Source organism: Homo sapiens, chromosome 1 (assembly GCF_000001405.40).
Source record: "Homo sapiens chromosome 1, GRCh38.p14 Primary Assembly".
Lineage (NCBI taxonomy): Eukaryota > Metazoa > Chordata > Mammalia > Primates > Hominidae > Homo > Homo sapiens.
In genome coordinates, this window is record NC_000001.11 from 183,042,044 (window position 1) to 183,069,887 (window position 27,844).

Here is a 27,844-nt window from a genome sequence, read left to right on the forward strand (position 1 = left end):
TCACTGTATCAAAGAGCCCCAGTATAAAGTAATAAAGTAAATAAAAACCCAGTTTTAAATCATTGAAGTTTGTTTCTCCTTCAGGTGGTAATTCTGAGGTCAGTGGTTCAGGACAGCAGGGTAGTTCTCCACGCTGACATTCAGGGACTCATGAGTGTTTCCTGGAAATAATCTGGGATCCTTTAGGGTATCATTCTTATGTGCCTGGTTGAGGCTGGGTGATAGGCCCCTGTGCTTTCCAATTGGGAAGATATTGAGGAGTGTGTGCCTAAATCTTAACACTTGAAAATCTTACCTCCCCAAAGTGCCATAACACCTGAAAGTGTATTATCTGCCACCAGAGAGAGCTTAGTCACTTGGCCACCTCATAAACACAGTAGAGGCTGGAAAATGGGGTCTAGCTGGGTGGTCTTGTGCCTGGCCACAGATCTATTACAGTGATGGATGGGTTGGTGGGGAGAGAACAGATTTTTGGCAGACAGCTCTGCCATGCCAACTCCTGTGCTGAAGAGTCTGGTTTCTCCCAAGTTCTGGTCTTTCTGGAGAGTCTTCAGAGGTTCCCATTCTGTGGCTGGCAGTTGTAGGGAGTGGATATAGAAAAATAGGGACCACGCTCACTGTGGATCCTCACAACTTTAGCTTTTCAGTAAAAGAGCCTCTGAAGAAAGGGTGTGTACTCATTCTGCTCTTAGTGCACAGCCTTCACTCCCTGACTTTACAGAATTGGTTTATTCTTTGACCTTTTCCATTTTCACACCCCCAGCCCTCTCCTGGCACTGAGATCCCACTGTACCTTCTTGGTGTTGTGTACTTACACTGATGGGCTCTATGTCTATCTGCCTCGGAGGAGCACATCCCACATGGGCATTGTCTGAATTCACTTGACGATGCTGATGGTGTTTACCTTCAGCTGTGACAGACCAATCAGAGCTGTTTTAAAATCCAGATGTCTTTTAGGAATGAGAGTTCCAGAAGTGATAAATCAGTGCTTTTTGTGGCTTGAACATATACAGTTTTGTTGTGGAATCTTCTTAAATGTATATTTATCTTTTTCTTCATTGCGAGTTCATTGAAGGCAGCTGTGAATCATGTTTTAACCATTAATTAGGTGTCCAACTTAGAGTGGGGTGCTTATGATCTAGTAGATTTAGGAAGATGGGTGTATGTTACATAACACCCTCAGCAGGACCCCCATCTCCAAGCAATTGAATATATCTGCAGTAAAATGTATTCGTACGAAACAGACTGATGAAAGGCTATCATAGCCTCACACTAGGTCATGTATTGTTGTCACACATTATGAAAATCTCCTGCTGTTTAGGGCTTTTTGAATTGAGAATCACAGATGAAGGATTATGGACTTATATCACATTTGATTACGTAAGTTATATCACTTTTACAGATAGTGATAAAACTACTGAAGACTATATAAAAATGTGAACAATAGGCATCTGGTAAATTGGTTATCTAAATAAGCAGATAAAGTTTAATAGGAAATTTCATTTCATTGAAAGGGTGAATTTTGACATGTTCTAACAATTTGAGTGAATGGATTATGAAATTATGGTAACAATATTTAGAACTACAGATAGGGCATTACATAAATGTTTAAAAGAAGAAAAGAAATAGGGTTGAATTCTGATAAAAAGTGACCTATTAGAAAAGTATTTCTATTCCTCTAGGGACATCCGTTCAATTTTTGTTGTTGCTTCATTGATTTTTGTAAAAAGGTGTTGCCTTTTAAAAATCATTTTAGAAAGGCAATGTCATTTTTAATGACATTACTACCATGCATAGTTTTGTGAGAAACCTGGCTATGTTAAAGCCATTTCATTTGAGATACATTTTGAATTGAAAGTTATTCTGTTGTTCTTGTTTTCAGAAGCAGATAATTTTGGCGATGTCTGTGTCCTTCTTGTCTGCTCTTTATCTGTTTACCTACCTGCTTATCACAACTAACTTTCTGTCCAGTTTTTTTTAATCCTTAGTAAATCAGTGTCTAGGAATCTTTAGTCACTCAGTTTTGAGGATGACTGTGTAAATGGTTATAAATGATTGCTTTTGCCTGTTGTGTTCTGTCAGCTTGGTTTTTGCTTTCTAAAAGATTACAGTCTCCTTGAATTGACATCTTTCTTTTTTATTTTTTTAAAGTCAAACTCATTCTCTTTATTTGTGCAGAGTCCTTTGCCCAAAATACATCATGTTGTCCTCTGGGCTTTACTGTCCTAGTTTCTTTTGGAAGAAAAATGCCTTCTCTATAAATTCTTCCCCACATCTTAGAAGTGTGACACAGCAGTGCTTACTGTATCACTCATTGGTCACTTGAGCATACCATCTTCTTTGGGAATCTTTTTTATGTTTATTTATTTTCATATGCACCCAGCGTGGGAACCGTGTTTTAAACCATTAGGTCAGTAACTTAGAGCTGGGTACTTGACTCGTAAAACGATAGGCATTTAAATATTCTTTGGCTCTTTTGATGAATCAGAAGATTCAATTCTAAACTGACAGAGAAACCTAGGACTAAATTAAAAAAATATATCCAGGCCATGGCTTTGGAAGGGTGTTTGGAAGAGCTGTGTTCACTAATCATTGGAGAAAGGCCACGGAGCTATTTCCTCAAGATTTAAGACATCCCCCTTTTGTGGACAGTAGTAATAGAAGACCTGTCTGTTCTGTTGAACTTTCCTTTAAGAACTGGAAAATAACTGAAACCAACCACAAAATTGTTTCTTTTTAAGAAGCGTTGTCTTCCTTTCCAGGATCCACAATGCCAAGTTAAATACCTTTCTTTTTTTAGGGTAGCAGATTTTCTCACACTGAGACTTTTAAACGTTTCTGTTATATTAATTGTAAAGTGTCATGAAGTTGGTGTCTCAATGCTTAAAAAAAAAAAAAGATCCACTAAAGCCTTCTTCTTGTCATTTGAAGGTTATTAAAATGTAATACTTCCCTTGTACATTCTTAATACTGATTTCCAGTGAACCCAGGGATTATTTCTCAGAGAGGAAATTCTGTTGTCACCTAGGCTAATAATTACCAAGTGCTCACCAGTAACAACTAGAATCTTCTCAGTAGGTTTTTTTTTTTTGGCTTTTTTTGTTTTAAATGTATATGGCCAGTTGATTAGTATGAATTATTGTTTTGTACTTGCAAGTCAATACAAGGTAAAATAGATAATTGTTTATGCAGCCAAGTATTCTGTTTTAGTGCACATAAATATGGAGTAGAAATAAAAGTTTCCATATGAAGTAGATTAGTAACTCTAGGGACATTTCTTCCAATTTTCCTCACCCCAGGTATCTACTACCATGGATTTTATGTTTTAGTCTTTTGCTTTTAAAAGAAAATAGTTTTGTAATTCCTAAACAATGTATTGTTTGTTTTTGAGCTTTGTAAAAATGGTATTCTATATGTGGTAATTGGCAACTTGCCAATTGAAAAAAAAGTTCAGTATATTTTTGAAGTGTAGCTGTAGTTCATTCATTTGCATTCCTGTCTAGTTAAGATTATACTACACCTAAGCTTTTGATTATCCTGCTGATGGATTTTTTGTTGTTGTTGTTGTTTTACGAATAGAACGCTTCTATGGGCATTCTCACACATGTCTCCTGATGCCTATGTGTGAGATTCTCTCTACCTGGGTTGCTGGGTCATAATACATGAGTTTTTCAATGTTATAAAATAATGCAAATTGTTTCCCAGAGTGATCGTGCTAGTTTAGATGCTCAACTAGCAGTGTTAATAGGCCTGTTGATCCACATTGGGTATTGTGAGAATTCTCAAATTTTGATCATTTGGTGGTATAAAATTGTATCTTAGTGGTTTTATTTATAAAGGAGAGTATCTTTTCATGTGTTTATTGGTCTTTCATATTTCCTCTCCGCAAAATGTCTCATCATGTTTTCTTTCCCTTATTGATTTGTAGAATTCTTCATATATTCTTTATACTAATCCTTTGTCAGTTATGTGTTTTCCTTATCTTCCAGTGTGTCCAGTGTATAATTTGTCTTTTACATTTTTTCTGTGATATCTTTTGAACAAAATGTCTTAATTTTAATGCGATCACATTTGTGGGTACTTTTTCTGTTAGCCCTTTTGAGTCTTATGTAAGAAGTCTTTCCTTATATTTTCTTTTAAGGATCTTCTGAAGTTTTGCCTTTCTACATTTAAGTTTATCTGGAGTCGATTCATGTGCATTGTCTTTATCTGCTAGGACAATTTCCTTTCCAACTTATTCTTCTATTTTAGAAATATCTTAGCTATGTTTAGGCCTGTGCTTATCCATGTAAAATTTAGAATCAGGTTGTCAAGTTCCTCAGTAAGCTGTTTGCATCTCGATTGAAGTTGCATTGAGTTTGTGTATCCATTTGGATTGAATTGACATCTTTATTATTGATTTTTTTCTCCATGAACATGGTATAATTTATATCTTCTCTGTTTAACTCCAATAATATTTAATAGTTTTCTCCTCATGAGCCTTGCTCTTTTCCTGATGGATTTATTCCTAGATACATTTTATTTTTTATTGCTATTATAATTTTTTCTGAATTACACTTTCTAACTCTTTTGTCACTGGTATATAAAAATAAAACTTTTTTTGTGTGTGTTGACCTTATAACCACTTGCTTAATTGTTTTATTCTAATAATTTGTCTTTAGCTTCTATTGGGTTTATATGTAGGTAGTCATCATCTGTAATAATGACAGTTTTGTTTCTCCTTACCAAGCCTTAACTCTTTTACTTTTTTCTCTGTTGATTAGAACAATATACAGAATACATTTAAAAAAATTCCCCTTAAATATTATGCCTTTATAAAGCTCTGCTAATTTGATAGGTGAGATATGTTTTAAAGTTTATCTCTTTTATAATTATGAAGGCCATTCTTAATTCTGTTGCATAATATTTATTTCTGTAAGCTACCTCACTTTTTTTGTAAAGAGGTATGATACTAACAGTTTCTTTCAGCTTAGTTTTCAACTTCTTTTGCTGTAAGGCCATTTTAAGAAATGTTTTGGGTACAGGTTTCAGTTAATTAAAATAGCTCTAAAATATCAAATTAGGTAGTATACAGATATTATTCACCTTTTTGGTAAAATTAGCTACCAAATTAGTTGCTGTTCATACTGTTTGATGCAATAAGTGGTAATCTGGAAAATGGAAACATTTCTATTCATAAAATTCACTGGAGATTTGATTAATACATGTATTTCCCTAAAAAACAAAGCAAACTGAACCAGTGGTAACTCAAGGAAGCATTGATAGAGGGACTTGGGTTTTGTTTTGTTCTTCATAACTAAATCACTCAATTACAGAGTGTGATAAATTTCTCAAGCTTCTGAGATATTTTAGGTCAGTCTTTATATTTTTATATCAATTCTGTGGATCATGCATTTTAAGCTCTTTTGTCTCTTTCTCTTCAAAACTGTCTAACGCCCTCTGAAACCTTATTTATCATCTGAGAAAGGATTGCATTTAAAAGACTTGGAACAAAGAGTGTTGAATGTATGGGACCTTGTTAAAATGTTGTCTTGTAAAATGTGATAGATATGAGTCTTTTAAGTTTTGGGGATAGATAGACCCATGTGTAATTTGTCTGTAAACACTACAGAAGTAGTTCTCAAATGAGTGTGGTACTGTCCCCGTAGGGGTATTTAGTGGACAGGAGGGGATTGTGGGGAATTGGAGGGGATGGGAGACAGTCCCATACAACAAAGAATTGCCCAAATCCTGCCTAACTTTTGGATTTCTCACGGGACATTTGTGCTATTAAAAAACCTGATTATAAATACCTGAGCCTAGAACATAACTTTGTCTTTACACATAAACAGTTTTTTTCATAACTTTATTATATGTAATTTCCCATGAATACAACCACCATGTATATAAATATTTTTTTAGCTTACCGAGAGTTAGTTCACCAATTCGGAAGGCCCCATCTCTGCCAACGCTGCCTCTCATGATATTCAAGTTGCCCATACAACACATATGTAAATCAGTCTGCTTTTCTAGCAATCAGAGTGAATCTGTGTACCAATTTGTATATTCTTAGCCTCTTTTTTTCTAAAATATCAAATGTAAATAAAAGTGTTGATAGTAGCTGAAATTTTGAAATTTGCTTTCAACCATCTTTTCCTAAATGTGAATAGCTATTACTGTGTCTACCTTGTTTCTTCTTACGGAACAATGAAATCACTAAGAGTAAGTGAACATTTTACAAGGAAACATGCTGATAAAGTTGGCAGAGATACGTCATTGTCCCTCAGTGTAATTTGTTCTGACCTGTTATACCTACTTAGTTAAAATGTCCTCTTTATCTTAAAACATACAGGTAAATCTGCTGGTGCTACGTTTCCCAACAATGATTTTTATTGCAGTGTCCACCTATAGCTCTATCCTTTCATTTCCTGTATGCCTTGTACAGAATGACATCCAATTCTGTTTTTAAAAGTATAAACTTGTTATAAATAAGTACAAATGTCTGATAGCTTTGTTATACATTCTAGTATAGTAATCCCTGAGCTATTACCTATTAAAAGGCGTGTATTTCCTTTTAACTTCTGCTTTATGTTATAGTTAGAGCTACACACATGTACACCACCCACCCCACTTGTAAGTTATATATGTTGTAGATTATATAATTTATGAGTTTTATTTTGGGATGGTAAAGGAGAAGCATTTTAAAATATTTGTTATAGTATTGGGGACATGAGTGTCTGTTGGGCTTGAAAATCTTCACTTTACAGCACCTCATCCTCACACGTGTCTTTTAAATAGTCTTCTGCCCCTATATTCTCTCTCCCTTCCGCTCTGTTGTACACAGGAAGCCAAAGCCCTCTCGAAAATACCAGGTATCACTTCCTCCTATTCAGATTCTTAGCCAAGTTGTTACCTAGTATTAACATTGTGGTATATATATTGTCTCACCAACTGGAGATATGATGGCAGGGACTACATCTTGAATTTCTTCCTGTCTTTATTATTAATATAGTTCTTTGCATCTAATGTGTACTCCAGAAATGTTTGCTGATATTTCTAGTCTACTTTCCCACTCTTATAGAAGAAACTAAATTTGGAGCAAATTCTCCAAGTTTTCTTACTAAATCTTCATATTTGTTGTATACAACTGCTCTTTAAATAGTTCTCAGCAGAATCATCTTAATATTTTTCTTGGTAAAATGCCATCTATAGCATCCCCAGGTGTAGAGAAGACATACAGAAATGGAAAGACTTTAATACTGGTCTGATTGTAATTACAGTATTAGAATAAGTTGTGGCAGAAGTCTTTTTAAAAAATTGTATAATTGTGGTAAAAGAAATCTAATTTTTTAAGTTTATCTACAGAGGTTGTGTCAATACCATATTCTTGATTTATTTTCTTGTAACTATTTTCTCCAATTTTGAATTTAAGGTTTTTTTGTTTTTTTTTTTTGTTTTTGAGACGGAGTTTAGCTCTGTCGCCCAGGCTGAAGTGCAGTGGTGTGATCTCAGCTCACTGCAACCTCCGCTTCCCGGGTTCAAGCAATTCTCCTGCCTCAGCCTCCCGTGTAGCTGGGATTACAGGCATGTGCCACCATGCCCAGCTCATTTTTGTAATTTTAGTAGAGACGGGGTTTCACCATGTTGGCCAGGCTGGTCTGAAACTCCTGACCCCAAGTGATCCACCTGCCTTGGCCTCTGAGAGTGCTGGGATGACAGGCGTGAGCCACCATGCCAAGCCAAAAGTGTCTGTTTTCTTATCTCCTTAAATACCATACTCTCCCATTCTCACCAAACTAAAACAAAAAAAAAAAATCATTCTGGATTTTCTTCCTTTGTGTCAATTGTGTTCTTTATTTTTTAAACTGGGCATAATAGGAATAGTTTGGGCAGCATCAATAGTAAATCAAATCTGTAGTAGATACCATTTCACATGTGTTTCCGTGCATTATTTTTTTCAAATTCAGTCTCCTTGCATAATACACTTAGAATCTTATGTGCTAAAGATGTCGTTCCCACTCAAGGTAGTGTTATCTGCCAGTTGACCTTTATCAATCAGATTTCAAAGTTGGTGTTGGTTATATTGTGTACTCTCCATGTGAGCTTTTATTATGTTGTTTAGTCATCTTTTGAAAGATAGTGTTGTCTCTATTTAACCCTATCTCTTATTAGAAATTACTTCTACATTGTGACTGTTGTAATAGTTCTTTGATATATTTACCTCACTTTATCAATGTTTCTGCTTGTTTTCTCAGATTCTTTTTTTTTTTTTTTTTTTTGAGACAGAGTCTCACTCTCGCCCAGGCTGGAATGCAGTGGCGTGATCTCGGCTCACTGCAAGCGCCACCTCCCAGGTTCACGCCATTCTCCTGCCTCAGCCTCCCAAGTAGCTGGGACTACAGGCACCCGCTACCATGCCTGGCTAATTTTTTTGTATTTTTAGTAGAGAAGGGGTTTCACCACGTTAGCCAGGATGGTCTCGATCTCCTGACCTCGTGATCTGCCCGCCTCGGCCTCCCAAAGTGCTGGGATTACAGGCGTGAGCCACCGTGCCTGGCCTCTCAGATTCTTAAAGATAGAATCACTGGGCCAGGCTCGGTGGCTCACGCCTGTAATCCCAGCACTTTGGGAGGCTGAGGCTGGTGGATCACATGAGGTCAGGAGTTCGAGACCAGCCTGACCAACATGGTGAAACCCCGTCTCTACTAAAAATACAAAATTAGCTGAGTCTGGTGGTGCATGCCTGTTATCTCAGGTACCTGGGAGGCTGAGGCAGGAGAATCGCTTGAACCTGGGAGGTGGAGGTTGCAATGAGCCAAGATCGTGCTGTTGCATTCCAGCCTGGGCAACAGGAGTGAAACTCCATCTCAAAAAAAAAAAAAAAAAAAAGAATTACTGAATTAAAAGACGTGGATATTTTTAAGGCCTTTAGATGTTACAGTCCTAAATTCTGAGTTAGCAGGTTATGAGAATATCTGTTCCTCTGAGAATTACCTTTCCTCTTCTCCTTTCAAATTATTTTTTTATCTGAGGTGTTTACTTTTCAATATTCAATAGTTAATAAGTCACAGCTGTCTAGGATGCAACTCTGATTTTGATTGTTATGATGGATTAAAGATGACCACAGATGCTTTGACACTCCTCCTTTTGTGTGTGGACTGGGCTGTGACTGCTTTAACCAATATGGGACAGTATGTGTGATGATATGGCAGTTCTAGGCTTAGCCTTTGAGAGGATGGGCAGCTTCCACCTGCCTTTTGGATCCTGAACTGCCTTCTAGAAGTTCAACTATCCTGAGACCACCATATTTGACAGGACATGAGCAGGCATTTCTGGTGAGCATTCCTAGCTCTGTCCAGCCTTTCCTCCATCCCCATCAAGGCACCAGGCAGATGAGCCCACCTGGCAGCTGAGTACCACTGTGTGACTTCAGTCAATACCGTGTGGAGTACACGAATCATCCAGCTGAACCCTTCCCAAATTCTTGACTCTCAAAATCATGAGATAAAAATGGTGGTTGTTTTAAGCCACTGAGCTTTGGAGTAGCTTGTTGTGCAGCAGTAGATAACTGGAACACTTACTGAGTCTCTGGGATTATTGAGTTGGAGTGCCTATGCTGCTCTTCCCAAGGGGAATCAGCCTTTTTTCCTTCCTGGAATGGTTGCTTAGAAGAACCTGTAGACACCCAGAGGAAGTTACACTTTTCTTTGGCTTTAACTAGAGAGCCATGGGAGAGGAGCCAGAAATATCCCGAGGCTATGCATTTCTGAGTTCTAACTGAAGCCTGGCAGAAATTTCAAACCAAGTTATCACAGGGATCTTGTGTCTGAGAGAGCAGACTGTCTTCTGGTCAGTATCCTTGTGTGTCTAATGAAGGGAAGACAGGTGCAGGGATCCATCTTCAGGGTGTTCTCCAGGAGAGCCATAAATGTAACAGTAGGAAAACAAGCTATGTTCATATTCTTGGTTTCTGCTTATTTCTCTGATAAAAAATCATTCCTTTCATTGGTTTCTGCTTGTTCATCTGATAAAAAAATCATTCCTTTTGTTACCTGTCAAAACATACAGCCCCCTGATTGCAACTCAAGGTGCTCTGCACTGCGTATCCAAGAGTAACCATCACTTCTGCTTCCCCTGTTTTGTTGCATGTGTTGGCTAGCTACCTATCCATTTTTGTGTTCTCATCCCTTTTTCTTTCTGTTCTGTCTTTCACAATTACCCTACTTTCCATTCCTCTTCCCATCTCTCCCAAACTCTGCTAATTGATATTCTGGTCATACTAAAAGGCTAATCTATCTATCTTTCTTTTGTTCTTTCTTTTCTTTTTTTTTTGACACAGTCTCACTCTGTCGCCCAGGCTGAGTGCAGTGGCATGATCTCGGCTCAATGCAACCTCTGCCTCCTGGGTTCAAGCAGTTCTCATGCTTCAGCCTCCCGAGTAGCTGGGATTACAGGCATGCGCCACCACGCCCAGCTAATTTTTATATTTTTAGTAGAGGTGGAGTTTCACCATGTTGGCCAGGCTGGTCTCTTAACTCCTGACCTCAGGTAATCCGCCTGCCTCAGCCTTCCAAAGTGCTGGGATTACAGGTGTGAGCCACCATGCTCAGCCACTTAACTTTCTTTTTCTTACATTTTCATCTCTTTATCCCTCCTGCTCATGTCCCTTCCTCTCCCTCACCTTAAGCACAGCCTGCTTGGGTTTTTGGGTGTGTGTCTTATAATAATATATCACTTAGTAAATTATAAGCAACTTGAGAATAAAGAAGGTTCTATTCAGTCATAATGCTTAAGAGTGTTCATCAAATTATTTGGGTTAAATAAAACCCTTTATTTCCATTTTCTTCTCCCTTACTGAAAAAAGCTACACTAATGTTCTCTAGGATTGATGTGCATAGAGAATGGGAACTTAAAGAATTATTGTCTTAAGGGTATGTGGGTTTCCTTATCCAAACACAGGTAAATGAGGGAAGAGATGTAAACAACGATTACTCTGTTCTTCCTAGTGTTGGTTGGAGTTCTCTGTACTTCTGTTTCCTGTCCAAGGAGGGAGAGATCCGTCATTCTGAATTTATTTGTTTGAATTTATGGGACAAAAATGCTATAAATCAAATCCCTTGTTAGGGTTTTCCAGTGCGTTAAATGTAAAAACTTGAAAAGTTTGCTGAAAAACTTGGTTTCCGTGTCCATATTTAATAGATCATATTTTCCCCAGATATTTTCGACTATAGCCATTATAAGAAATATATTTTGTATTGCCACCTAGTCAGTACATATAGCTGAAACAGGTTTATCAAAGCAAGTCTAACCATTATTTCCTGTATCATACTCTGATATTTTCTATTCACTTCTAATTCTTTTTTAAAAATGCTCATCTGGATCTGTTTTTTGTGTGTGTTTTTTTTTTTCATTTCAAACTAATGGGTTGTTTGAAAAGTATTGAGTTACATAATAGTTGCTTGAATGGTAAGGGTCTGATTCTGAGTCTCATCAGCTCTCCTGAGAGAATTGGTGTTCTTAGACTGCATTGGTGGCTGAATCTGATCAGAACATTTACATTTTGTGAAGATCTTGTATAATCCAAAACATTCATAATGAAAGATAGTTTTGGTTTTTTTTTTTTGACAGAGTCTTGCTCTGTTGCCCAGGCTGGAGTGCAGTGGCACGAACTTGGCTCACTGCAACCTCCATCTCCTGGGCTCAAACGATTCTTGTGCTTCAGCCTCTTGAGTAGCTGGGATTACAGGCGCACACCATCATGCCTGGCTAATTTTTTGTATTTTAGTAGAGACGGGGTTTTACCATGTTGCCCAGGCTGGTCTCAAACTCCTGAGCTCAGGCAATCCACCCGCCTCGGCCTCCCAAAGTGCTAGGATTACAGGTGTGAGCCACTGCTCCTGGCCAAAGATAGGTTTTATTATTGGGAAAAAGTGTTAAGATAGGTGAAATCTATAGTCTTTGCTCAAATGTTGCTTTTTATTTTCTAAGTGTCATCACTAGTGTTTTGCAGAATGTTCTCTCAACAAGCAGTACTGCCTATTGAGGTGGGTTGATTTGTTGTTCTGAATAGTTCTGCCACCTCCAATTTCATTTTAAAGTCATTGATTTTCAGGTGCATTTGTAAGGCTAGCATCATTAATATCAGCACTTAATAGCTAACATTTATTAACTACTATGTGCTATGCATGGTGTTGAGTGCTTTTCTTAGATTAATTTAATCCTCAGCACAACCCAGTGCGGATGGAGCACTCTCCCAGTTTACGGAGGAGGAAGCCGAGGCATAGAAGCCACACAGCTATTTGTGAGGATTCAGGCTGTGCACTCTAGGGTCTGGTTATAGAGGCTGTTCTCTGAATCACACTGTGCTCTGCCTCAGAATAAAATGCCTTCTATACAACGTGGCTGTAACCTTAACTTCTGGGGACTGGTATCACTTGTTACTCTTTCCTAAATTTTGGGGTCATTTCCAGTATTCTAATGGCAACGATACTATAACACAGCCCCTAGGATACTGATATTCTGTTATATTGAGAAGAAAGCAGGGGTAAATAAGGTCTTTTGACATTTTAATGAACTGATTGCTTAGGGTTTCAAGATTAACCCACCCCGTATATTGCAAGGTCGCTTCTCAGCCTGAAGTTTACTTAGGTGAAAAACAGGACATTTTATTTCTTTAGTGTCTACTTTATGCTAGACACAGTTCCTGGCTTGGAGACTACAAAACTCAATGTGGAGCATTTGGCTTTGATTAAGAGGGAAGCCATTGATTATTCATAGACTTCTAGGACCACAGCCACCTTAGAGCCTTAGGGGCTTTTCCCACTTGACCCCTTCTTCTACTGAAGAGGAGCAGGCCAGGAAGCCAGTGGTTCCTCATGGTATCAGGATTCCTTGTTCTTGGTGCTCTATTGTGTTGCCTTTTCTTCTGCCATCTTATTCCTTTGATTAGTGAGAACTTTGTGCATCTTTTTTTTTTTTTTTTTGAGATGGAGTTTCGCTCTTGTTGCCTAGGCTGGAGTGCAGTGACGCAATCTCGGCTCACTGCAACCTCCACCTCCCGGGTTCAAGCGATTCTCCTGCCTCAGCCTCCCGAGTAGCTGGGATTACAGGTGCCTGCCACCGCGCCTGGCTAATTTTTTGTATTTTTAGCAGAGACGGGGTTTCACCATGTTGGCCAGGCTGGTCTCGAACTCCTGACCTCAGGTGATCCACCTGCCTTGGCCTCCGGAAGTGCTGGGATTACAGGTATGAGCCACCGCGCCCGGACACATCCTTTCTTTATCATTTCTCTTCCTAGTGTGTGAAATGTGGCGATAGATGTTTATAACCACTTACTAGGGATTGACTCAGCTATGAACTTGATACCTGCTTAGGGTGACTAATTTAGCCTCTTGAAGCCTCAGTTTTCTCATTTGTAAAAAAAGTTAGGGTAAAAATATACCCTATTGTGTAAAAAAAAAAACCTACTTTATAGGATTGATGTGAGGATTAAATGAAATAAAGGCATTAGGCCGGGTGCAGTGGCTCATGCCTGTAATCCCAGCATCTTGAGAGGCCAAGGCGGGCAGATCACAAGGTCAAGAGATTGAGACCATCCTGGCCAACATGGTGAAACCCCATCTGTACTAAAAATACAAAAATGAGATGGGCATGGTGTCGTGCACCTGTAGTTGCAGCTACTCGGGAGGCTGAGGCAGGATAATCGCTTGAACCTGGGAGGCAGAGATTGCAGTGAACTGAGATCACACCACTGCACTTCAGCCTGGGCAACAGAGGGAGACTCCGTCTCAAAAAAAAGAAAAAAAAAAGAAATAAAGGCATTAATAGTGTTTATGTGGTGTTTGGTGCAAAGCAAGCATACAATTGATGATTATTTTTCATGAGCTTAATAAAATTGAGGGTGTAGCTGGGGACACCTTTTGGAAGAGAGAGATTATAGAGTTACTGTTGGATTAAAAAGTGTCTTGTGTATGGAATAAGAATCAAGTGGCATTTTTATATTTTTATATTTCAGTCCTCTTTCTTTAGTAAAGATGGAGTAGAACTGGCCCAGTCCCCTCTGCTGCTGCCCAGTGCTGCTGAAAGGGCAGTGTGGTGCAGTGGTTAGAGCATGGGCTGTGGAGGCAGATGGATCTCAGGCCAGCCATGCTTCAGCTGCCTGCTGCCATGTGTCAGGCCTCCTTGGATATAAAGTTCCATAATTTCCTCAGGTATTAAAAGTGAGCCATAGTGTTTCCCTTATGGGATTGTAAGGTTTAAATAGAATGGTGAACATAGAGCAGCCAGTGCAGCACCCACCCCATGGTCGATCCACCCTCTGCTTCCTTTTCATTTTCTCTGATACTTGACGCTTGCCATATATGGGCTCCTCTTGCTCCCAGTTTCTGTTTCTTCCCTGTATGACCTTACCAAATCTGGTGTGTTTATTATCCACCAGTCACGTCCCACTGTCTTTCAAGGCCTGACCTGAGCCATCTTCATCCTTGAAGAGTTCTTCCACCCTCCTCCCCCCATCCCCCCGTTCACCAATTCATTGATCTGTCCTGAATTTCTCCAGTAATACCTGTTTGGCACTTAACTAGTCCATGAGGGGGCATAAAGGGACCTCGTAGACCTTGGAAGTCATTTAGTCGACCACGCTCATTATACAGGTGAGGAAGCTGAGGTCCAGGGAGATAGCAATTGCTTAAGATCAGGTTTCCCATTTCTAGACTAGAGCTTTCTCCACCACCCTATGTACCGTTTCTGTTTTTAAGCCTGTAAAACAACAAACACCACAATAAACACCAAAACCTGGAAATAGGAGATTATGTATGCAGACTTGTACTTCATGGGACAGAGAGCTGCTTCTGGGTTTGTACTCTGCTCAGAAGGTGTATGCTTTATTTTACTTTAGTTGGTAGGTATACTATATGAGTAATTCTCTTTTCTTTAAAATTGTAACACATGAATTAATAAACATACATTTACTAAGCATCTCCTGTGTGCAAAGCTTTGAGGACTGTGAGCTTCATAAAAGAGTCTGCGCTTTCAGGGCCTACTTGGGCTGTTAAAAAGCTGTAAGGATAAGGAAAATGCAATCCGTATTGAGATTCTTGAGCTTTCTAAAGTGTTGTTTCCCCACAAGAACTAAAAGGAAACAGATTCAGAGAAACACAGATTGGTGTTCTTACCTTGTTCTCTCCTGTACCCTCTCCAAGAAAAGGTATTTAGTAGTGGAAGGTATATTCGTTTATATTTCAAAGGCACAATGATGTCTGTTTCACAGCTTTCTGGATGTGGTGAGGGACTTTATTTGGTCAGCCCTCATTCCTTACCACTCCCTTTGCTATCTTTGATGGGTAAGCAGATTTCATGAGGCAGGCCAGTCTCTCGTTTCACTAGGTTGCCTGACTCTCTGAAAACTTCCTGACTATCCCAAACCATATAGAAATTTATTTTAAAAGTTTGACAGCTGGCCGGGTGCCGTGGCTTACGCCTGTAATCTCCGCATTTTGGGAGCCCGAGGTGGGTGGATTACCTGGGGTCAGGAGTTTGAGACCAGGTTGGCCAGCATGGTGAAACCCCGTCTCCACTAAAAATACAAAAATTAGCCGGGCATGATGGTGGGCGCCTGTAATCCCAGCTACTCAGGAGGCTGAGGCAGGAGAATTGCTTGAGCCCGGGGAGGTTACAGTGAGCCAAGATCACACCACTCCACTCCAGCCTGGGTGACAGAGCAAGACTCTGTCATACTTTTTTTTTTGACAGCTGTCAAACTGTAGCCTAAGCCTGAAGGGTTGGGAAGTTGAAAATATATGTCATATATATCATGCTCATTTAATCTCTATTGAGATGTTCTTTTTTTCCTTCTTACATAAATATTATGTGCTCTAACTAAACATATTATATATTTTTATGTGCAGTTCAATGCATAAGGAATTGAATCACAATTGGAAGTCCTCTTTAGAAGGATTTGCTCTTGTTTGACAGATAATAGCAGACTTCATCTCTTTTTAAAAATAAACCATCAGTTTATGTCATTGAGTATATTTGATCCTTCTAAAAAGAGGTTCTCTTTCATATTTATTTTTTGTCTATGATGTAGTTTTCTAAAAGTTCGTCTCTATTGGCTACTTCATTTCTGTTCTAAATGTAGTAAGTTCTTGGAAGTGTACTTAGAGGCAATTTAAGGATTTTATCTTAAGCCTGCTGACTTGTGTAGTTGAGTGGATGCTAGTTTTTGGTCAGTTGTTCTATTTCATACCTGTAACATAAGGATATTGAGGGTGACTGAATTTTACAATGCTTTGCATTTTGTACATCTTTATATGTGTCTGCTTCTTGAAATCATTGCTTTTTGTGATAAAGACCCATCTATGGTTATTTCAATTTGCTTGGCAGGTGTATATTTAAGTCTGGTTTTGTTTCTTCTAGACAGTTATTTGATAATAGAGATTCATATTGTTTTCTGTCTCCAGCAAATACTCACTGAAATGAAGAATGATGGATTTGGTGATTTGGGAGTCTGGTGTGTGAAAACACATCTTAAAGGATTCAGGTTTAAGTTTTTTAGTTCTTATACACGGTTCCCATTTTTCTGTAATGTCTTCTTATGTCTCAATATGTAAATATTTTGTCTTTACTTATACTAATGTTTCTTGTTACCCAAATTATCTCCTAAGACTGTTTATGTAGACTTGAAATATTTCTTCTGTCTGTGGGTGTGGGTGTGAGTACCTTCCCAAAAACATCCAGGAATTTTTGCCCACCTACTTGGTTTCCCTGGAGCATGAAAGAAGGTGATTAATGGGGTAGAAAAAAATTCACAAAAAGCCACCAACAAAAAGCTACCTACATGTTTACATGTATTTTAAAGGAAAAGCCTGTCAGCTGCAATCAAAGCAGCAAGGGCTCTTCAAGGAAGGTAATATCTATATGTTGTTCTGTTTTATAACATGTAAAATTTTCTCCCCTTGGGAAAAAACGTCTCACAGAAGATTTTCTTGCAAGATGACTATGATATGACAGGCTCTGTTTTTGTTATGCATAGGCAGTTGCTTCTATTGTGTTCCCTGCAGCCTAGTGCGTGTGTATTTTCTTAGACTCATCTGGTAGTGAAGTGGCCTCTAGCTCAGGTCTTCACAGGCAGAACATCCATGCTTTGAGGAGGCTGTATTAGCAAAATAAGAAACCTACTCAGAGATAAGGGAGAAGCTTCATTGTTGATGCTGTTATTAACTCAGGCTCAGCTTCCTGGTTTGAGAGATGTTCTGAATACATATTGATGGATGGGTTATTAATACATTACATCATGGTGGAACTTGGCATCCCAGACTGGATAAGCCCACTTGCCCTGTTATATACCAGCATTTGTGGTTTGTATTAATAACTCTGTAATCCCAGCTACATGGAAGGCTGAGGCAGGAGAATTGCTTGAACCCAGGAGGTGGAGGTTGCAGTAAGCCAAGATCATGCCATTCTACTCCAGTATGGGCAACAGGAGCAAAACTCTGGCCCAATAATAAAAATAACTAACCCAGATTGTGTGACAGGAGATAATGGAAATGATCTGAGTGGCCACCTAATTTCAGTGAAGGAACTAGCCAAGGTAAGTGACTTGCTCAGTGTAAGTCCACAACTAATTTGTGGCCACTCAGGACATTGAACTGGGTCTCGGAGCAAATTATAAGATAGGTAAAACAGAGGGGACACAAACGTGGAATAGTGAGAGGGTGAGGAGAGTGCAGTTCAGGCTGGGATCGTGTGTGGCATATTCGTAGGAAACCACAGAATCTGAAGTTAGTTAGGTTTGGATTTCATTTACCACTTACAAACTACGTGCATCAGAGTAAGAAATTTAATTTCTCTGACTGTAGGTTCCTTGATTATAGAGATGTTGTAAAGATTAAATGAGATGACACGTTGGAAGTTTCTGGCACTGTGTAGGGGACATCACATGTTCCATGATGGCAGCTGTTATTGTTCTGGTACCTGAAGTGGGAAGGGGAGCAAGGAAGGAAACGTGAGGATTGTGATAGTAGGGAGGGCTCTGTTGATTTTGAAAGGAGAGTCCTTTCAAAGCAAGCCTTTAGAAACCTCACATCTGATCATGCCACTCACTGTCTGCTTAGAAATCACCCTTGGCCCCTCATCATGTAGCTAGACTTTTAAGTCCTTGTGAATGTGCCTTTCCCACTTGCTCCTTGCAATCCATTTGTGCTGTATCTCTGGCAGTTCCTGGAACATGACATGCATTTTCATTTTCATCTTAAGTAGTATGGCATGCACCAATAGTTCCAGCTACTCAGGAGGCTGAGGCAGGAGGATTGCTTGAGCCCAGGAGTTCAAGGCCAGCCTGGGCTACATAGCAAGACCCCATCTCAAAAAAGAAAAAAAAAAAAAAAGCAATTACCCCTTTACCCTGTCCCTCTGTCCTGCATTTGCCATCCTTTAAGACTCAATTCAAACTTTATTTCTACTGTGCAGTCTCTTGGACCAGGCTCTCCTCATGTCTTACTTTCTCTTGCAGTGACTCACTACGCCTATTGTGTTTCCATAGTACCCTGTACACAATATTACAGTGCTTACTACACTGTGTCCTAACGATTTGTTTACATGTCTGACTCATAATTATCATTACATTCCCTGGGGACAAGAGCTAGATCTTAATCATGTTTGTATTCTTAGCACTAAGTTGATGCCAGACACACAGTAGGCACTTATTAGATGCTTATATGACCGAATGAATGGGTGAAAAGCAGAAGTAGAGAAGTTATCTTAAGTTGATATAACAGTATGAGCAAAATATGGATGCAAAATCAGTGCTATTGTGATGGCAAGAATGAGACAGTTTGAGAAAATATCGTGTTGAGAAGTAGGTTTGTGTAAAATAGAGATAGGAAGATATGATCACTTCATGAAAGGCTTTGAATATGAAGCTGACCAATTGAGATGTGTTAGGAAGGGTAGCCATTTTAGTTTTTTTGTCAGAAGTGACATGGTTAGATAGCAGAGTTGCAGGAAAATTAGTATAATGGTAGTAGGTTAAGTTATTGTAGCAATCCAGATGTGAGTTAATGAGGGATAGGACTAGGGTGATGTCGATCAGAAAGGCAAAAGGAGAGACACTGAAAACAGCAAACCACAAAAACTCTGGCAAACCAGTTCACTTTTAGATATCTCACATTTTGGTGTGCCAAGGTTCCCAGCCCCCATACTCCCTTCAAAAATAAAGTCCTTTCCATTTTAGTCTTTGGTTATTAGTGTGTGAAAACTCTGCCTAAATCCTGAACTTTCTACTCTGATTTGTCAGAGGAACAGTTCTTTCAGTTTTAATTTTTGTCTTTAGATTTTTTGGTTGGTGTTTTTTTTTTCTTCCCCTAGGCTCATCTGTATAGGACTGTGAGCCCAGAAGGAAAGTTGGGAAATAATTTGTCAGTATTCTTTGGCATTTACAAGATGTTCCTATAGTCTCATTATAACATGGTTTCCTGACATTTTGTTATGGTTGTTGTTGATAGTGCTTTTTGGAAAACAACATCTATATCTTTTTTTCTTTTTTAAAAAGTGCTTATATCTTTTAAGTTTTATGTTACTTTGAGATATTACTGTAAGTTCTTTTGTTCATAGATTATGAAAAATGTCAAAAGGAATTCTAATCAGAAATCAGTTTTGCTCTGTGAATTTGTACATTGAAATTTAAATGATTCTAGTTAATACATTCTGTCTCTTATTTTCATTTAATGTTGAGGTGAATACACACATGTAAGGCCATATAAGAAGAGAATAACTAATGAGTGCCTATTCTGTCCAGTCTTGGGCTTCACAGACATCATTTATATTGAATGCTCATAATACCTGATAAAGTAAATATTAATAATCTAGTAAGGCAATTAAGACTTTGGGCAATTAAATTCTCACTGTACGTCATTGGGACATGGCAGAGAAGGAAGCCTATGTCTTTTTCTGACTATAGTGCCAGTTGACTCTGCACGTTTGCATACAGCAGTTCTCAGATCTTCTTAGTAACAGAATCCTTTATCCCATGAAATCAGACTCCCAATATATAAAACAGGTAAGAATAGTGTTCAGTTATATACGTTTATTGTATTTGGTACGTTAAATTTAAGGTGGAAATCTATGTTTCAATCTTCACTTGGTTTCATCTTAAAACTTATTTCTATATATTTTGTTTGCAAAATTAAAAAAGTTCAAAGTTTCAAAGATACGAAGATTCTAATAGCTTTTTTGCTGCATCAATACTATTTTCTTGTCAGAACATGATAAAAATTACAATGTGGAACTTTAATAGCTTTTTAAATAGTTTGTCTTGTAGTTTCAGGGCAGCATTTGATTATATGGGTGCAGAAAACTTGAGAAATAGGAGGAAATTTTGTTTTAAAGTTGTATTAGGTGAGGTGCATGGATCACCTAAGGTCAGGAGTTCGAGACCACCTGGCCAACATGGCAAAACCCCTTCTCTACTAAAAATATAAAAATTATCTGGGCGTGGTGGGGCGTGCCTGTAGTCTCAGCTACTCGGGAGGCTGTGGCATGAGGATCACTTGAACCCAGGAGGTGGAGTGAGCCAGAATTGCACCACTACGCTCCAGCCTGGGTGACAGAGCGAGACTCTGTCTAAAAAAATAAAAAACTTTTATTTACTGGCCGGGTGCAGTGGCTCACGCCTGTAATCCTAGCACTTTGGGAGGCTGAGGTGGGCAGATCATTTGAGGCCAGGAGTTTGAGACCTGCCTGGGCAATATGGCGAAACCCCATCTCTACTAAAAACACAAAAAAATTAGCTGTGCTTGGTGGTGCATGCCTGTAATCCCAGCTACTTGGGTGGATGAGGCTCAAGAATTGTTTGAACCCAGGAGGCAGAGTTGCAGTGAGTCAGCATCACACCACTGCACTCCAGCCTGGGCAGATAGAGCAAGACTCAGTATCAAAAAATAATAATAAAAAAAAGTAGTATTACTAATCATATTTAGTGACATCCACAGTAGTTATCAGTTAAGTACATTTTGAGGGCAGGAAGGGAGTTAGTGAATGCCTCCACATCCAATATTAAATTCATTGTTTGGCAGAAAAACAGTTTTTGAATGTACCTTGTAATATTTTAAGATGTTACTTTGAACAGTCAAAAAAGGCTGTCAGCTTTTTACTCAAAGTTCCAGAATAGTCAAATTTCTTTTGTTTTACATGTTGAGTCTAAATGAACACTTTTCTGCAGTCCTTAGTGTAGTAAGATGGGAGCTTGTTCAGCAAGATAGGCAAGTTCATGCATATGAGTTTTATTTCAGAGCTAATTGACATAATTTATCAACCAAAGTGATTTATTTTTAAAACACCTCATTAGAAATACTCAGATCTGCACATTGCCACAAAGCAAATGAAAATAAGTTAGAAGTTGGAGTTGTAATGTATTGGGTATACATACCCTGGTAGTGAGAACTTCCAAGGTACCTTAGTGAAAATGACAGCCTAAATGGCGTTGTCTGTTACTATTTGGAAGATGCTGACATCTGATGTTTCTAACTGACCACTAGAACATGTGTCAGCAGTTGCTTTTGTAGGGGCCATGCTATTCTCCTGCTCTCTCCTATCATTGCTTTAAACAGTACACTGTAATGTCTTATAAATCTTCCATGTATTTTTTCTGCAGAAACAAAAACAAACACAGGAAGACAGAGACACATCTGTCTCATCAATTCCATTTGAATCATTATAAAGAGTTTAGTCAAATTCATACATCGGATGAACTTATCAAATACAGAGGGTGCTTTTGCTTGAAATCTTCCCCAGGTGGTTTTGTGAGGATAATGCTCTTAATTTTATTAATTTTATTTTTGTAATACCTTGCTCATCCATCGTAATTGATACGGATCCCTCCATTGCCTTTGGATAATGTTTACCTCGCACGTAGTTCATTCTGTGTTATGATAATTTACTTTGAATGACAAATTACTTAAATTTTTATTGACAGGCTTTAAGTATAAAAAAGACCTGAAATTTGAAATCTGTATTAGGTATTGTGAAGCAAAGTGGGTAAACTTTATTATTGTAGAATTGACTCTTAAACTATGACCAAGTACAGGCACCAGCCAGGCAGATGTGTTTAGGCTTTCTCTGGCATTGGAGCATGGTACAGGGCAGTAATGATGTAAGTGCTTCTATATATATGTATATATAGTCATGCATTACTTAACAATGGAGTACGTTCTGAGAAATGCTCGTTAGGTGATTTTGTCATTGTGTGAATGTCATAGGGTGAACTTAGACAAACTTCGATGGTATGGGCCTACTACATACCTAGGCCATACGGGATGGCCTATTGGTCCTAGGCTATAAACCTGTATAGCATGTGACTGTATTGAATACTGGAGGCCATTGTAACACATTGGTAAGTATAGTAAGTCCTTACTTACTGGCTTCAATATGCTTCTGGTCACAAAAACATAACCAAACATAAACACTTCTAAAACTAAACTTTGAAATAAGCATGAGTTATATGTATATTTTTAAAAGATTAATAAAAACAAGTAAGACAATTTTTACCCAATTTTTGGTGAATCAATGAGTAACAGTGGCCGTAGTGGTGTTGGGTTAAATCAAGGAATGAAGTTTGTAAAGCAAAAATTGTAAGGGGCACCTCCTGTTACCATATAATTAAAAAACAAACCAAAAAACCAAAACAAAATAACAAATATGGCAGGTCACCACATACTTTTGTACTGTATCGTTCATTATGATACATTTATATGATTACTGTTTATTCAATGAATTTGTAGTTGACAATAATTTGTATTCATTTTCTGACTTATTCTAGTTTAGGGTCATATGTGGCTGGAGCCTATCCCAGCAGCTCAGGAACCAACTTTGCTAGGATGCCATTCCACTGCAGGGTGCACTCACACACACCCACGCTCACTCAGACTGGAACCATCTAGACATGCCAGTTAACCTAAAGTGCACATATTTGGGATGTGCACATGGGGAAAATGTGCAAACTCCACAAAGACAGTGGCCCTGGCTGGGAACTGATTTTTTTTTTTCTTATCAGCATTATAACTGAACAGTGTTGAATGAAACAATGTTGAACAAAATGACACTACTTAAGGACCTGCTGTATTTGTGTATCTAAACATGCCAAAAGATAGGAAAAGGTACGGTAAAAATACGGTACTATAATTTATAGGAACACCATCTTATATGTGGTTCGTCTTTGACTGAAACATTGTTATGCAGTGCATGACTGTATGTATAGCGAGGGAGACAGAGACTGTATATATATAGAAAGAGATTTAAGTAATTGACTTATGTGATTGTAGGGGCTGGCAAGTCCAAAATCTGTGGGGCAGGCCAGCAGGCTGCAAATTTGGATAAGAATTGATGTTGCAATCTTGAGTCCAAAAGCTGGAAACTCAACCAGAATTTCTAGGTTGCAGTTTGGAAGCAGAATTCCTTCTTCTGGAACTTAAGTCTGCTATTAAGGCCTATGACACATTGGATGAGGCCCACCCATATTATGGATTTGTTTTACTCAGAGCCTACTGATTTAAATAGGTTAATCACATCTAAAAATGCTTTAAAAGCAATGGCTAGACTGGTGTTTGATCAAGCAGCTGGATACCGTAGCCTAGCCAAGATGACACATGAGATTAATTGTCACGTGTATATTTTTGATTATAATTTTTGAAACATTAATATTTTAAAATTAAGTTTGATTCAGTGTGAATATGTCTTTGGAAGTCTGGAGCTCTGAGAAGAATGACAAGTAGTTGTTTACTTTGAGAGGCAAATGGTATTGAAAGAGCCAGTGATTTGCAGCTGGGTGATTTGGGTTCAAATAAATTCCAGCTATGCCATTTACAGTTTGTGTGACTTTGGTCAGGTTTCTTGAACTTGAGTCTCAATTTCCATGTTAATAAAATAAGGTATTACTTTATCAAGCTACTTTAATAAGCGAGAGAATGCTTGTAAAACTCCCACTGAAGTGACTGGCATATAGTGGCATTTAATACATGATAACGCATTATTGTCATAGTGATTATCATTATAAGCTTAGGTTTATATTACAAAGTTTTTTATTTCCCTTTATATCTTTTAAACTATATCCTTTTACCAAGTGTACTGTACTTTCTGTAGTTTGTGGGAAAAATTGAATCAAAATCTAGCATTCTCAACTTTAGAGTTCTTTTTTCTAAGAATGTTGTAATTGAACAACTAAAAGAGACAATTGACATTATGCCATCAGAGGGTTGGACGAAGGTTAACTGAGGTATCCTGAAAAGCATCTGCCATGCTGGAGAGGATGTGGGGAAATAGGAATGCTTTTACACTGTTGATGGGAGTGTAAATTAGTTCAACCATTGTGGAAGACAGTGTGGTGATTCCTCAAGGATCTAGAACCAGAAATACCATTTGACTCAGCAATCCCATTACTGGGTATATACCCAAAGGATTATAAATCATTCTACTATAAAGACACATGCACACATACGTTTATTGCAGCACTGTTCACAATAGCAAGGACTTGGAACCAACCCAAATGTCCGTCAGTGATAGACTGGATAAAGGAAATGTGGCACATAAACACCATGGAATACTATGCAGCCATAAAAAAGGATGAGTTCATGTCATTTGCAGGGACATGGATGAAGCTGGAAAGCATCATTCTCAGCAAACTAACACAGGAACAGAAAACCAAACACTGCATGTTCTCACTCATAAGTGGGAGTTGAACAATGAGAACACATGGACACAGGGAGGGGAACATCACATACTGGGGCCTTTCAGGGGGTTGGGGGCTAGGGAAGGGATAGCATTAGGAGAAATACCTAATGTAGATGACAGGTTGATGGGTTAATGGGTGCAGCAAACCACCATGCACATGTTGTGTACCTATGTAACAAACCTGCACATTCTGCACATGTATCTGAGAACTTAAAGTATAATTTAAAAAAAAATGTAAAGAAAAGCATCTGCCACAGAGCTTGGGCCAATAAGTTTGGTTTATTGTGTTTTAGTCATTGGTATATAGCTTTTCTGAAGTTATGCATTACAGTTAATTACATTCTAAGAGTGCATTATAAGGTTAATTTCTTGTTTTGATACCAGGGTTTGTTAAAAAGGAACAATATTTTCTAGAAAAGCTTTAAAGTAGTCATATTCTTACAGATTTTAAATCTAGGACTTTGTCTAACTATTGATGATTTATTGAGTAGCTCTGGGATTTTTTTCAGAAATTAAAAAAAATCTTTCATCTGTACAATTTTTCAGTTTTGTTTAGAATTCTTTTTTTGTCATTGCATTTTTAAAGCACTCATTTTAATTTAATAAAACGATGAGTGTGTCTCCTAAAGTTGACCACACAACTGCAAATTGTATTTTTTGCATTTCTTTGTTGGCAGTAGTAGTTTCCTATTGGCTGTTCTGTACTTATATATATAGATATACATATATATTTTTGTTGTTGTTGTTGTTGTTGTTGTTTTTGAGAGACGGAGTCTCGCTCTGTCACCCAGGCTGGAGTGCAGTGGCAGGATCTTGGCTCACTGCAACCTCTGCCTCCCAGGTTCAAGTAATTCTCCTGCCTCAGCCTCCTGAGTAGCTGGGACTACAAGCGCACGCCACCACATCCAGCTATTTTTTTTTGTAGTTTTAGTAGAGATAGGGTTTTACTGTATTGGCCAGGCTGGTGTCAAACTCCTGACCTCGTTATCCACCTGCCTTGGCCTCCCAAAGTACTGGGATTACAGATGTGAGCCACCACGCCTGGCCACTTGTCAATATATTTAAAAATTTTTTTATTTTTGGCTTGTCAGTATTGACCTTAATATTTGTAGTATTGGGAGTATCATGATAGCAGAAAGGACTTTGGAAAATCTATTATTAGAGGGCTTCACATGGGTGCTTCTGTAATAAAATGAATGGTGAAAAGAGACTTAACCATTTATAGTTGTTGGCTTCGGATAAATCTCCCAGAAAATAAGTGGATTGGAGTCCATTAACCCAAGCTTCCCAAAGCATAATGGGAGTTGAGCTTAGGGCCTGTTTCCTAGTGAGTGACCTACTGAGGCTTAGGGGCTAGATCAAAAGGATCTGGTAGTACTGAGTTTCTTAGTACCAAATTGAAAATGGATTTCTTTTTTTTAAAAAAGGCCTTTGTTACAATCTTATTGCCTGAGATGATGTAACATGTTAATGGGTTATCCATTTTGTATTGTTTTTTTTTGTGTGTGTATGTGTGTGTGTAAAGAATACACACAATCTCAATGCTGAAATGAATTTGAAATGTAAACTAATTATTTTCAAGTGCATAGGATATTACAGTCTAAGGTAAGAAACAGTAAGCTAGTACTCATTTGTTGTGCTAAGCAAATTACTAATTATTTAGGTGAGCATGAAGAAGAAAACCAAACCAGAAAGGTTTAGGGATATTAATGTTCTTCAAATTAGTTAAGAAAGTTAGCAGCAGCCACTGAATGAGGACCTACTATGTGTAAGCATATTTTATGCTCATTTTCCTCACAAGAACTCTATGAAGTAGATATCAAATTATTGCAGGTCTCTAATTGCATATCCAGCACTCAAGGCAAGAGGTGTTTCACAATTCATGACTTTTTTAGGTTTTTAGAAAAGTGACACATGGGCTGGGCACGGTAGCTCATGCCTGTAATCCCAGCACTTTGGAAGGCTGAGGTGGGTGGATCCATGAGGTCAGGAGATTGAGACCATCCTGGCTAACATGGTGAAACCCCATTGCTACTAAAAACACAAAAAATTAGCCGGGCATGGTGGCGGGCGCCTGTAGTCCCAGCTACTTGGGAGGCTGAGGCAGGAGAATCGCTTGAACCCAGGAGGCGAAGGTTGCAGTGAGCCGAGATCGCGCCACTGCACTCCAGCCTGGCAACAGAGCGAGACTCCATCTCAAAAAAAAAAGAAAGAAAAGTGACACAGGTATATACTTTATATCAGTGGTCCCCAACCTTTTTGGCACCAGGGACTTGTTTTGTGGGAGACAGTTTTCCACTGTTGAATTCTGCCTGGAGTATATGTTTTAAAATTCAATATGTAACTTCATATTACAGACTCTCTACTGTACCTGCTATATTGTGTATTACAACAACATCTGAACTCAGTGAATGGTTTTAGGTTCATTGTCAGGACTCTGGGTCCATTTATATGGCATATAAGCATTTTAACTTGTTTCTTGCCATATTTTCAAAACAGCCTTGTGTATGTCTGGGAACAATAAATAGGGAGTTTCATTATCACTGTTGTGCTAATGCATGTTTAAAGTTAGACAGATGAGTAGCTGTTCATCAATATATGTAAAACCTAGAGAAATGATTAGCTATTCATCAATATATGTAAAACTTAATTATTAAAAAAATGTAATGTCCTATGTCTGTGCACTGGGAGATCCAGGAAAGGTAAAAGTTAAGTCATTATCCTCAAGGAGATTACAGTCTAGTTGGAGGTGTATATTATACTATTTATTCTGTTGTTTCAGTGGGATTTGTTGTGGGAGAGAAAGGTAAGTTAAACAGAAAGCCTGAAGAGAGGTCTGGGTGTCCAGTGTGTCAGGGAATGCCTCCTTCTTGTAGCATCCAACCAGATTGTTTTGGGAGTTAGAAATGTAATGCAGTCAGTCCCCCAACTTAAAGAAATACAGCCCAGACCATCTGGTATGTCACAGTTGTGTGGTAACAGCAGTAAGGAGCATCGGCTGAGTCTGAGGGGAGAGCTGGGTGCTCCTTGCACCTCCCTGGCCCTGGCAGGTCTCTTTGCTGATCTTGTGCTGCTTTCTGAGGAGCCTGTTTTTAGAATGCTTCTCCAGGTAGCCAGCACCAGTGGACCATCATTGAAGTAGGAG

At 38.5% G+C, this 27,844-nt stretch overlaps 1 protein-coding gene across 1 annotated transcript in view, besides 2 other annotated features; it reads left to right on the forward strand.

The window, feature by feature from the left end:
* LAMC1 (laminin subunit gamma 1) overlaps positions 1 to 27,844 on the forward strand; it is a 122,173-nt gene that overhangs the window by 18,624 nt on the left and 75,705 nt on the right. The window lies entirely within an intron of this gene.
* Positions 3,177 to 3,377: a silencer, noted in NCBI's record as "peak499 fragment used in MPRA reporter construct". NCBI's record gives its function as "represses an SCP1 promoter by STARR-seq MPRAs in K562 erythroleukemia cells {active_cell/tissue: K562}" and the evidence as "EXISTENCE:reporter gene assay evidence [ECO:0000049][PMID:32103011]".
* Positions 18,552 to 18,601: a silencer, noted in NCBI's record as "silent region_1627". NCBI's record gives its function as "represses an Ori minimal core promoter by ATAC-STARR-seq in GM12878 lymphoblastoid cells {active_cell/tissue: GM12878}" and the evidence as "EXISTENCE:reporter gene assay evidence [ECO:0000049][PMID:35858748]".